This window comes from Homo sapiens, chromosome 4 (genome assembly GCF_000001405.40).
Source record: "Homo sapiens chromosome 4, GRCh38.p14 Primary Assembly".
NCBI lineage: Eukaryota > Metazoa > Chordata > Mammalia > Primates > Hominidae > Homo > Homo sapiens.
The window spans coordinates 40,661,360-40,674,308 of NC_000004.12; the positions used below are offsets into that span (position 1 = coordinate 40,661,360).

General features: G+C 44.9%; 3 annotated features.

Moving 5' to 3' along the window:
• Window positions 324-829: an enhancer, noted in NCBI's record as "NANOG hESC enhancer chr4:40663700-40664205 (GRCh37/hg19 assembly coordinates)". NCBI's record gives its function as "activates a minimal SCP1, AML or CMV promoter by ChIP-STARR-seq in primed H9 embryonic stem cells {active_cell/tissue: H9 hESC(primed)}" and the evidence as "EXISTENCE:reporter gene assay evidence [ECO:0000049][PMID:30033119]".
• Window positions 2,302-2,441: an enhancer, noted in NCBI's record as "active region_21495". NCBI's record gives its function as "activates an Ori minimal core promoter by ATAC-STARR-seq in GM12878 lymphoblastoid cells {active_cell/tissue: GM12878}" and the evidence as "EXISTENCE:reporter gene assay evidence [ECO:0000049][PMID:35858748]".
• Window positions 10,923-12,122: an enhancer, noted in NCBI's record as "BRD4-independent group 4 enhancer chr4:40674299-40675498 (GRCh37/hg19 assembly coordinates)". NCBI's record gives its function as "activates an origin of replication core promoter dependent on BRD2, P300/CBP, MED14 and CDK7 cofactors, and independent of BRD4, by STARR-seq in HCT116 cells {active_cell/tissue: HCT116}" and the evidence as "EXISTENCE:reporter gene assay evidence [ECO:0000049][PMID:35650434]".

Genomic DNA, 12,949 nt, shown 5'->3' on the forward strand with positions numbered 1-12,949 from the left:
CAATGAACCAACCACAGAAGTTCACCTTTTTCAATCTTGATGCCACCACAGGAACTGGAAGACCTATGTTTGACCACCACCCCCACTCCCCAACCCTTGACTCCTGCCAACCCCCGCCTCACTTACAAACTATATGATTATAGCAGCTGTGAGCAGGAGCAATTTGCCCAGACAGACGGAATTTCCATCTTGACTTAACTTCTTTCTAGAAGTGGAATCAGAAAATACTGTGTAGTCATCTGTGTCTCAGTTTCCTCATCTGCAACATGAGAATACAAATAATAGCACCTACCCATATGATTTTTATGAGGTTCAAATGAGATGTTACGTAAGGCATCTAGCACAGTAACTGGCGTATATAGTACAAGTTTAACCAGTGTCAACTATCATCATCATCATCATCACCACCACTATCATTATATGACTCTTCTGAGACTTACTTTCCTCCCTTGTAAAATCACAGGTAGCCTACAGTCTCCATAACCAGGAACGGGAGTGGTCTTCTCTCTGTTTTGCTAATGAGTAAAATGAGGCAAGGCATGCTAAAATGACAATTCTCACAGAATGAGAAAAGAGAACCCCTGAAGAGAATGGTGAGCTCCATTTTGAAGCAATGGGTCTGCTGTGTTCTTCCTGGCCCCAGACCACACAGGACTCCTGCCTCAGGGTTCACATCAGCAGGGCACCTTGAACCTGCTCTGACGGGCTCCGGAGAGCCAACTGTTAAATTTTCAGAAAGTCTGTAAGCCAGTTGTTAAACACAGCCATTACTAAAATTAAATTATATGAACTTACGATGAAATACATTACACTTACAATGGAGCAATACATACTCAAAACTTATCACTTCCTAATGATTTTATTACAGTTCACTGTGGTTTATGTTTTTAAGGTTATTTACATCAATTGTGTTTGTTTGTTTTTGAGACGGAGTCTCGCTCTGTTGCCCAGGCTGGAGTGCGGTGGCATGATCTCAGCTCACTACAACCTCCACCTCCCAGGTTCAAGCAATCCTCCTGCCTCAGTCCCCACTAGTAGCTGGGATTACAGGCATGTGCCACCATGCCCGGCTAATTTTTGTATTTTTAGTAGAGACGGGGTTTCGCCATGTTGGCCAGTCTGGTCTTGAGCTCCTGACCTCAGGTGATCCACCTGCCTCGGCCTCCCAAAGTGCTGGGATTACAGGTGTGAGCCATCACACCCAGCCTGTTTATTTATTTATTTATTTTGAGATGGAGTCTCGCTCTGTCTCCCAGGCTGGAGTGCAGTGGCATGATCTTGGCTCACTGCAACCTCTGCCTCCTGAGTTCCAGTGATTCTCCCACCTCAGCCTCCCGAGTAGCTGAGATTACAGGTGCCCGCCACGACGCCCAGCTAATTTTTGTATTTTTAGTAGAGATGGGGTTTCACTATGTTGGCCAGGCTGGTCTCTAACTCTTAGCATCAAATGATCCACCTGTCTCGGCCTCCCAAAGTGCTAGGATAACAGGCATGAGCCACTGCACCTGGCCATATTTGAACAGTGGAAATTGTATATAACAGTATGCTACTTCACATTTTCTTCCCAACTCTTCATTCAGTGATGTCAGATTAGTAGCTTGAAATCAGCCAGAGTGGGAATATTTACACTGCAGAAATCAGCAAACACTACAGACAAGCCCTTCTGCCTCCCCCAAGCTGGTGGTTAAACATCCACCAGCACACCACTGGCTCAAACCAGCACATGCAGCCAGGGTCTCTTGGAAGAAAACTCCTATTGCTCTCAGAGAGAAGAGTGTGTGGTTATTATCCCGTTGCGCCTAAATCAGGGGCCCATGAAGAAATAGGCTATTAGACATGGCCCTCTTATACTGTTTTCTTAACGAAAGTAAAATAAATAATTCTGAGCCCTTGGCCCACAGCCAAGGTCCTCTCGGGTTCAATTCTTCATCCTCTATTTGCAAGAGCTAATCATAGTGAAGGGTGCACGAAGCAACCGTTCTTTGTGTTCAGAGTGAAATAATGGCTTGTCATCCCTGAGAGTACGAAGGCTCTGTACTCCTCAGTGCAGTGAACACAAATCCCAGTCGCATGGCATCTGGCTTTTTCTTTTTCTAAGTGAATCAGAGTCTTTATGAGTAAACGTTTAGCTTTTTCCTCCACCCACTCTGGCCCAGCCATGACCAGGAGAGTGTTTTTTGTTTTTCTAGTTGAATTGACTCACCGATAGTTTTAGGAACCTGTTGGTTTGCATGTTTAGTTCTTTTTTTTTCCCCCATACCAGATTTGAAACCTAGCATGTTTAGTTTTGATCTATCAGAAGGAGCTGGAATCCTTGTTTGCAAACTCACTGATTATATAGCATATATTTGACTCTGTTTTTGTTTAGAGAAAAAGATACCCACTTCTAAAATAAAGAACTGAGGCCAGGCACGGTGGGTCACACCTGTAATCTCAGCACTTTGGGTGGATGAGGCAGATGGATCACCTGAAGTCAGGAGTTCCAGACCAGCCTGACCAACATAGTGAAATCCCATCTCTACTAAAAATACAAAATTAGCCAGGTATAATAGTGCATGCCTGTAATCCCAGCTACTTGGGAGGCTGAGGCAGGAGAATCACTTGAACCCAGGAGGTGGAGATTGCAGTGAGCTGAGATTGTGCCATTGCACTCCAGCCTTGGCAACTGAACAAGACTCCATCTCAGAAAAAACAAATAAATAAAATAAAATAAAAAACTCAGCCCTGGGCTTGCTTTGTTCTCACAGCCACATAACTTATCCACAAAATAATAATGAGAATCACCAAGGAATATAAAGACTTTTTGTAAATTAATAAAATGAAGTACGTAACTGGTATGCTGTTTCAAGAATAGCCCAAATATATATTTTATATATATAATTTTATTTTTAAAAATTATTATTATTATTATTTTTTGAGACTGAGTCTTGCTCTGTCTCCCAGGCTGGAGTGCAGTAATGCAATCTCAACTACTGCAACCTCTGCCTCCCAGGTTCAAGCAATTCTTGTGTCTCAGCCTCCCAAGTAGCTGGGATTACAGGCACCTGCCACCACAACTGGCTAATTTCTGTATTTTTAATAGAGACATAGTTTAGCCATGTTGGCCAGGCTGGTCTTGAACTCTTGGCCTCAAATGATCCACCCAACTTGGCCTCCCAAAGTGCTGAGATTACAGGTGTGAGCCACTGCATCTGGCCAGGAATAGACTATTTTTAAAATTTTATTTATTATTATTATTTTTTATATAAAGACAGGGTATCTCTATGTTGCTCAGGCTGGTCCCAAACTCCTGGCCTCAAGTGAGCCTCCTGCCTTGGCCTCCCAAAATGCTGAGATTACAGGTATGAGCATTAAATGCTCGGCCTAAAGAGTTATTTTTGGGCAGGTGTGGTGGCTCACGCCTGTAACCCAGCACTTTGGGAGGCCAAGGCGGGTGGGTCATGAGGTCAGGAGATCAAGACCATCCTGGCTAACAGGCAGAGCTTGCGGTGAGCCGAGATTGCGCCACTGCACTCCAGCCTGGGCAACAGAGCGAGACTCCGTCTCAAAAAAAAAAAAGTTATTTTTAATAAAGATATATAAAAAAATATTGCTTTAAAAGTTTCTTAGGCAAGGAATGTATAAAATTGAGTACGTCTCCAAATTCCTATTCTGATATAGCAACTGCTAACAATTACTGAGTTTCTATCATGAGCAGATATTGTGCTAAGTATTTTATGTGCATAATTTCATTTAATTTATTGAACAAATATTATTGAGCACTCATATATTGTTCCAGGCAATGTTCTAGACATGGGTGATACTAGCAGGGAATAAAACAGACAAAATCTATGATCTTATAAAAATGGATATATAATAGGTCAGACGGTAATAAGTGCTATAAAGAGAAATCAAACTTGGCTAAAGTGGGGTGAAAAGTACCTTTAGGTGAAAGGTGGCTGCTGTTAATTTATTATAGGGTGATCAAAGAAGATTTCTCTAATAGGTTAACAGTTTTCTGGGCAAAATTGTTTCTAGATAGAGGACACCGCAAAAAGTAAGAAAATGTTGAACATTTGACTTTCTAAGATAAAATAAGATAAAAATTACTATTTTATGGATGAGTAAACTAAGACTAAGGATTATTCTTTTTTTTTTTTTTTTTTTTTTTTTTGAGATAGAGTCTTGCTCTGTTGCCCAGGCTGGAGTGCAGTGGCGTGATCTCAGCTCACTGCAACCTCCGCCTCTAAGGTTCAAGCTGTTCTCCTGCCTCAGACTCCCAAGTAGCTGGGACTACAGCTGTGCGTCACCATGTCCAGCTAATTTTTGTATTTTTAGTAGAGACAGGGTTTCACTATGTTGGTCAGGCTGGTCTCAAACTCCTGACCTCGTGATCCACCCACCTCAGCCTCCCAAAGTGCTGGGATTACAGGCGTGAGCCACCGCTCCCAGCCTGACTAAGGATTATTCTTATATGTGCCCATGTCACCTACGTAATAAGAGGGAAAGTCAAAGCACAACCCTCAGACTATTAAGTCTATGCCTTACTCTCCCAAACATCATTCAATTTACTCATCCCAACTAAGAGCTCCTCTTTTAAAAGATTGGCAGAACATAAGACTACCAGGAATTAATTGGTGCTGCTGTCAGTTCTACAATTTAGTCTAGCCTTAGGCAAATTACTGACACTTGCTCTTCTCCAGAAACTGTAAAATGGGATTTAGGTAATTAACAACTCAGAACAACTATTTTGAGAATTAATTAGCTAATGGTTACAAAATACCCTGAACATTAACAATAAGAGTGTTTTCATTCTGAGTATCACATTTTCTTCTGAATGGAACTCCAGGTACCTCCATCCTTGCCTGCTCTGAACTTCCACACCCAGGTTCTCCTCAGATTTCTCTCTATTGGCAAAACCAATTAAGTAGATAGTAAAACCAGAGTGCATGTATCATCTTTTAAAAAAATTTTCTTTCAATAGTTTTGGGGGTACAGGTGGTTTTTGGTTACATGGATAAATTCTTCAGTGGTGATTTCTGAGATTTTAGTGCACCTGTCACCTGAGCAGTGTACACTGTACCCCAAAATGTAGTCTTTTATCCCTCTTCCCCCTCCTGACTTTTCCCCCCACCCCAAGTCCCAAAGTTCATTATATCATTCTTTTTTTTTTTTTTTTTTCAAACAAATTCTCACTCTGTTGCCCAGGCTGGAGTGCAGTGGTACGATCTCGGCTCACTGCAACCTCTGCCTACTGGGTTCAAGCTATTCTCCTGCCTCAGCCTCCTAAGTAGCTGGGACTACAGGTGTGTGCCACCATGCCCAGCTACTTTTTGTATTTTTTAAGTAGAGATGGGGTTTCACCATTTTGGCCAGGCTGGTGTCGAACTCAACCTCATGATCTGCCCACCTCAGCCTCCCAAAGTCCTGGGATTACAGGTGTGAGCCACCATGCCTGGCCCATTACATCATTCTTATGTCTTTGCATCATCATAGCTTAGCATCTACTCATAAGTGAGAACATATGATATTTGGTATCCATTCCTGAATTACTTTACTTAGGATAATGGCCTCCAGCTCCATCCAAGTTGCTGCAAAAGGTATTATTTCGTTCCTTTTTGTGGCTGAGTAGTATTCCATGGTGTATATATACCACATTTTCTTTATCCACTCATTGCTTGATGCGCAGTTAGGTTGGTTCCACATCTTTGCAATTGTGAGTTGTGCTGCTCCAGATATCATCTTTAACTCCTTTGCCTTCTCCACATACATTTCCAAGTCCTGTTCATTCTACCTCCAAAATGTATCTTGTATCCATTCATCTCTCTCCATCTTCAATCTATTTCAATACCCCATCATCTCTTGCATGGAGGAGTGTAATAATTGGCTAACTGGCCACCTCTTTTTCCAACTTGCTCCTTTCTTAAGCATTCGCCACACAAAAGCCAGAGTGACCTTTAAAATCAGAAATCACTGGGCATCATTTCCTACTTAAAACCTTTCAGTGATTGCCGGCTGGGCGCGGTGGCTCACGCCTGTAATCCCAGCACTTCGGGAGGCCAAGACGGGCGGATCACGAGGTCAGGAGTTCGAGACCAGCCTGGCCAACATGGTGAAACCCTGTCTCTACTAAAAATACAAACAAAAATTAGCCGGGAGTGGTGGCAGGTGCCTGTAATCCCAGCTACTCTGGAGGCTGAGGCAGGAGAATCGCTTGAAACCAGAAGGTTGGCTGGGCTAGATGGCTCATGCCTGTAATCCCAGCACTTTGGGAGGCTGAGGCAGGGGGATCACGAGGTCAGGAGATCGAGACCATCCTGGCTAACACGGTGAAACCCCGTCTCTACTAAAAATACAAAAAAATTTAGCCGGGCATGGTGGCGGGTGCCTGTAGTCCCAGCTACTCGGGAGGCTGAGGCAGGAGAATGGCGTGAACCCAGGAGGCAGAGCTTGCAGTGAGGCCAGATCGCGCCACTGCACTCCAGCCTGAGCGACAGAGTGAGACTCCGTTTCAAAAAAAAAAATAGAAAGAAAGAAACTGGAAGGTGGAGGTTGCAGTGAGCCGAGATCGCGCCATAGCACTCCAGCCTGGGCAACAAGAGCGAAACTGTCTCAAAAAAAAACAACCCTCAGTGATTGCCTATTGCAGACTAAGTACAGCACAATATCAGCTTGGCACAATTCCTTACCATGGCTAGGGTGACCTCATCCTGTTTTGCCCAAGACTTTCTTGATTTCAGCACTGAAAGTCCTGCATTTCAGGAAACCCTCAGTTCTGGGCAAACTGGGGCAATGGTTCCCCCTAACCATTGCCTTTAAGGCCTCACTCACATGAAGAGCTCCTGCCTGCCTCACAGCCTCACCTCATCCACTGTGCCTTCAATCACTACACCCTCTGCACACTGGCCTTGGTCTGGTTCTAAGGCAGCCCGGCCCTTTCCATCCTCAAGGCCTCGAGGGTTGTGCTCGCCTTTTCCCTTGCCTGGAAGGCTCTTCCCATGGCTGGATTCTTCTCATCCCTTAAAGCTCAGTTTAAATGCTCCAGAAAGGCCTTTCCTGATCTGAGTTAACTCAACAGATCCTATCTGCTATTCTTTATGATATCATTCTTCTATTTCCTGCCTAGCACTTATCACTAGTGAAAAGGAAAAAAAGAACCCTTTTTTTCTATACTCCTACAGAACACTTCTGACAACACAACACATGTCAGGAAAACCAGGTAGGTTTTTCACACGAAGCGATTCACCAATTCTCTGCAGACAACAGCTGGGTGTCCTACAATTTATCTCAATTCTGACACTAACTGTCTGGAGTTAGCACAGACCCCACTGGGGAAGGGCTCAGTCCCATAAGACTACCCTTTGATGCCAAAATGCAAGCCTGGGATTCCTACAGTGTTTTTTTTTTTTTTTTAGACGGAGTCTCAAAAAAGCCTCTGCCTCCCAGGTTCAAGTGATTCTCCTGCCTCAGCCTCCTGAGTAGCTGGGATTACAGGTGCATGCCACCATGCCCAGTTAATTTTTGTACTTTTAGTAGAGACAGGGTTTCACCTTGTTGGCCAGGCTGGTCTTGAACTCCTGACCTCAAGTGATCCTCCCACCTTGGCCTCCCAAAGTGCTAGGATGACAAGTGTCAGCCACTGCATCTGGCCCAGCCACCCAGTTCTAATTAGTAGTTATCTGCTGTTGTCAAGGCCTAAGGTCAAGGTCTAAATTCATAACCTGTCTCCCTGAGCCTAGAGGACCTTGATTCTGTTGCTCCTGAAACAGCTGGAGTAGGAAGGAGAACAGCTGCTATGCCCAGAAAACTGTGCAGGAACCGGTGGGCTTCCTATACTTCTGACCAACTAACTATAAATAAAGGGTTCTCACAATCCCCTCTTTGGGTTCCATAATTTGCTAGAATGGCTCACGGAACTCAGGAGCACGCTTTGCGTACCATCACCCAGTTCATTGTAAAGGATGCAACTCAGGAGCAGCCAGGTGGAAAAGATGCACAGGGCAAGGTATGAGGACAGGTGGAGCTTCCATGCTCTCCAAACATGCCACCCTCCCAGCATCTTTTTTTTTTTCTCTCCAGCCACATCCTTTTGACCTCCCAGCATCTTGATGTGTTTGTTCACTCACTTGGAAGGTCTCTGTACCCTGTTGTGTAGGGGTTTTATGGAGGTTCCGTTATGTGGGCATGATTGATTAACTCACTGGCCATTACTGATTGAACTCAAATTTTAACCCTCCGACTCTCCCCAGAGGTTGAACGGTGGGGCCGAAAGTTTCAACTGTCTAATCACAAAGATAGCTCCCCTGACAGCCAGCGCCCCCTCCTTAGGGGTTTTCCCAAAGTCACTTCACGAACTTGTGAAGGTGTAGGCCGGGTGCAGTGGCTCATGCCTGTAATCCCAGCACTGTGGGAGGCCAAGGCAGGAGGACCCCAAGATCAGCATGGGCAACGCAGTGAGACCCTGCCTCTACAAAAATTTTTTTAAATTAGCCAGATGTATTTTAAAATACAGCCAGACATGTGCCTGTAGTCCCAGCTATTTGGGAGGCTGAGGCAGGAGGATTGCTGGAGCCCAGGAAATCGAGACTGCAGCGAGCTGTGATCATGCCACTGCACTCCAGTCTGGGTGACAGAGTGAGACCCTGTCACCAAACAAAAACAAAACAAAAAACTCAGGTATAGTTGAAAGGGGCTTTTTATGAGTAACAAAAGACACTCTTTTCAAATTATCACTTGGGAAATTACAAAGGTTTTAGGAGCTCTAGGCGGGAAATGAAGACAAAGACTAAATATATATTTTTTATTATACTGCAATATCACACTAGTCTTGATTTATTTTCTTTTTTACTTTCTTTTTTTTTTTTTTGAGACTGTCTCACTCTATCACCCAGGCTGGAGTGCAGTGGTGTGATCTTGGCTCACTGCAACCTCTGCCTCCCGGGTTCAAGCGATTCTCCTGCCTCAGCCTCCCGAGTAGCTGGGATTACACACGTGCGCCACCATGCCCGGCTAATTTTTGTATTTTTAGTAGAGATGGGGGATTTCACCATGTTGACCAGGTTAGTCTCGAACTCCTGACCTCAGGTGATCCGCACACCTCGGACTCCCAGATGGCTGAGATTTCAGGCGTGAGCCACTGCGCCCGGTCTTGATTTATTTTCCATTTACCTGTTTATTGTCTGTTTCTTATCCCTAGAATGTGAGAGGACAGGGGCCTTGTCTGCATTGTTCACTGTGGTATCCCCAGCACATGACACAAAACATGTGCTCAGAAAATACTTACTGAAAATACTTACAGAAAATACCTACTTTACAAGCCTCACCTCTACCAAACAACAGGTGGACTCAAGCCCTGGAGGGACAGAGATTAAGGTCTCACAAACACCAGGACATCTGGTCAACCTGGTTCCTCCCAATGCCTGCAGGTGATTGAGAGCTGACCTCAAAGGGACCTCAAAGAAATTCTGGTTTATCTGGAGTTCTAGAGAGGTTAAAGGACTAGCCCTATGTTATACACTCAGTTTACATTTAACATAGGGCTAAAACCAACATTTCCTAATTCCCTACCAACTGAGCTCTAATTTCAAAGTATCTTAGTGTAAGAAGAAATCGCCAGATCCCATCTGCTCTAGTCCTTCCAAACAGCACCCTATCATTACCCGCATTTAAAAGATAAGACATCTGGTGCTAAAAGAAGTAAATGACTTTTCCTAGGTCACACGCCTATTGAAAGGCAAGGAAGGACTTCATTCGTTTTTTTTTTTGTTTTTTTTTTTTTGAGGCGGAATCTCACTCTGTCACCACCAGGCTGGAGTGCAGTGTTGCCATTTCAGCTCACTGCAACCTCCGCCTCCTGGGTTCAGGTGATTCTCCTGCCTCCTGAGTAGCTGAGACTACAGGTGTGTGCCACCACACCCGGCTAATTTTTGTATTTTTAGTAGAGACGGGGTTTCACCATGCTAGCCAGGCTGGTCTTGAACTCCTGACCTCAGGCAATCCACCCACCTCGGCTCCCAAAGTGGTGGGATTACAGGCGTGAGCTACTGCGCCTGGCCTGAAGGACTTCATTCTTACACCACACTGTCTCCAGGTTTTTGTTTTTTTGGTTTTTTTTGAGACGGAGTTTCGCTCTTGTGGCCCAGGCTGGAGTACAATGGTGCAGTCTTGGCTCACTCCAACCTCCGCCTCTCAGGTTCAAGCGATTTTCCTGCCTCAGCCTCACAAGTAGCTGAGATTACAGGCGTGTGCCACAATGCCTGGCTAATTTTGTATTTTTAGTAGAGATGGAGTTTCTCCATGTTGGTCAGGCTGATCTTGAACTCCCGACCTCAGATGATCTGCCCACCTCAGTCTCCCAAAGTGCTGGGATTACAGGCTTGAGCCACTGCACCCGGCCTTGTCTCCAGGTTTTAATCTTCTGTATTCTAGATTTTGTACAACCATGGAATTAAGTATCTTTCCCATATTAGACCCATTAGCAAATACCCCTGAGAGAGAGAGAGAGATTAGGTGCAGAAATAGCTCAGGAATGCCAAATCATTTAACAGATGCAGTGCTTTTGTTCTTGATTCATTAATTCATTCAACAAATATTTGATTCCCTACTATGTGCTGTAAATTATTGTGGATACTGGGAATACAGCAATGAATAAAACAAAACCTCATGCGGGAGAAAGGCAATGACAAACAAATAAACATATTTGTACATCTGAGGCATATCAGGTAGCCAAAGTGCTATGAAGAAGAATAAAGCAGGGGCCGGCGCGGTGGCTCACGCCTGTAATCTCAGCACTTTGGGAGGCCAAGGTGGGTGAATCACCTGAGGTCACGAGTTCGAGACCAGCCTGGCCAACATGGTGAAACCCTATCTCTACTAAAAATACAAAAATTAGCCAGGCATGGTGGCACGTACCTGTAGTCCCAGCAACTTGGGAGGCTGAGACGCGAGAATCGCTCGAACCTGGGAGGTGAAGGTTGCAGTGAGCCGAGATCGTGCCACTGCACCCCAGCCCGGGAGACAGGGCAAGACCCCCTCTTCAAAAAAAAAAAAAAAAAAAGAATAAAGCAGGATAAGGAGACAGTGACGGGCAGGGAACAGCGCTGCTTTAAATAAGTTGGTCAGGGAAAGACACTCCAGTCAGATGCCACTTGAGCAGAGATCTGAGTGAATTAACGACATGAACTAGAGAAAGAATATTCCACGCCAAAGAGAACAGAGGCACAGTGGCCCAAGGCAGGCAGGAGTTTAGCATAACTCAAGGGAGGGTCCAGAGGTCCTGCGGCTGGAGTGGAGTGAGCCGGAAAGAGGAAGGAAAGGTCACATGAAGAGCTGGGGCCAGGTCCTGATGGTAAGTGCTCTTTGGAACTCCTCCTTTTAAAACTGGCGTGTCTTCAGGAAGCTGAATATCTACAAAGCTAGGCCTCGGAGAGAAGGCTTTTCCTGAGTATGTTTGTGTGAGTGATTCCGTGTGTTAACAAAGCGCCCCAGGATTTGCCTTTTCTTCCCCTGTTTCTTGCTGTTAGAATGTTAATCTGGCTAAATCCATTCAGCTTCACTCGTTTGGAAATCAGTCATCTAATGCTTGTAGCGAAAAAAGGAGACAAGCTAATACATCTCAACAGAGCAGATACGTGGGAGCCACTCCCACAGATCAAGATCCTTGCAGAAACCCAAGCCATTGTTCAGCCAATAGTAAATAAGAATCCGAGTCATTCTAAAACTGAGTAGAAAGCTGAGTCATCCTTCCCTCTATCAAGAGCTTTATTCCTTTTGCATCCTGTGGATCTTGGTTGGTTAACACATTACTGAATGGTGACGTGGGTAGGTCTGTCTGCCTGCATCAAATCCTGCCCTAACCACATTCTCAAGATAGTTTTCACCACATTTACTAAACTTCCTTGAACCTCAGTTTCCTCCTCTGCAGGAGGAGGGTATGAATGCTTTATTAGTTTTCTACTGCTGTGTAATAAATTAGCACAGATCTAGAGGGTAAGAGCTACTCCCACTCATCATTTCACAGTGCTGTAGGCCAGAGGCCCCAGATGGCGTAACCAGGTTTTCTGCTAAGAGCCTTGAAACGCTGAAATCAAGATGTTGGTTGTCCGTGTCCTCACCTAGAGCTCAGGGTCTTCCTCCAAGCTCATCCCTGTTGTCAGCAGAATGTAGGTTCCTGCAGTTGTGGGACCGAGGCCTTGTTTCCTCACTGGCTGTCAGCAGAGGCCATTTCTCAGCTCCTTAAGCCTGCCCCCTTCCTCCACAGTGACCCTCTATTCCAAAGCAGCAACTACACACCTAACCCTTCTGACACTTGGAAAACATCTGACTTCTGCTCTCAGCCAGAGAAAGCTCTCTGCTTTTATTCTTTTTTTTATCTACTTATTTATTTTGTAGAGTGGGGATCTCGCTATGTTGCCCAGGCTGATTTTAAACTCCTGGGCTCAAGTGATCCTCTTGCCTTGACCTCCCAAAGTGCTGGGATTACAGGCATGGGCCACCATGCCTGCCGCTTTCTGCTTTAGCAGCTCATGTTCACCCAGATAATCACTCTTTCTTAAGGTCAACTGTGCCATACAACATAATATAATCATCAGAGTGAAATCTCATCATATTCACAGGTTCCAGAGATAAAGGACATCTTTAGGGTCCATTTTAGACATTCTGCCTACAACAAATGCCTTCCTTGCAGAACTCTTTTGAAAATTAGAGATGATGTATGTGTGTAAAATAGTTGCCAGCTGCTAATAGCTGCTATTACTATAAGAGCCTCTTTGATGCAGGGAGCAACTAAGTAACTGAGCTACTCAGTGAATCAAGTATAAGACCAGACTCCGGTGCCAGGGCTGTGGCTCATGCCTATAATCCCAACACTTTGGGAGGCCGAGGCAGGCGGATCACCTGAGGTCGGGAGTTCAAGACCAGCCTGACCAACATGGAGAAACCCTGTCTCTACTAAAAATACAAAATTAGCCAG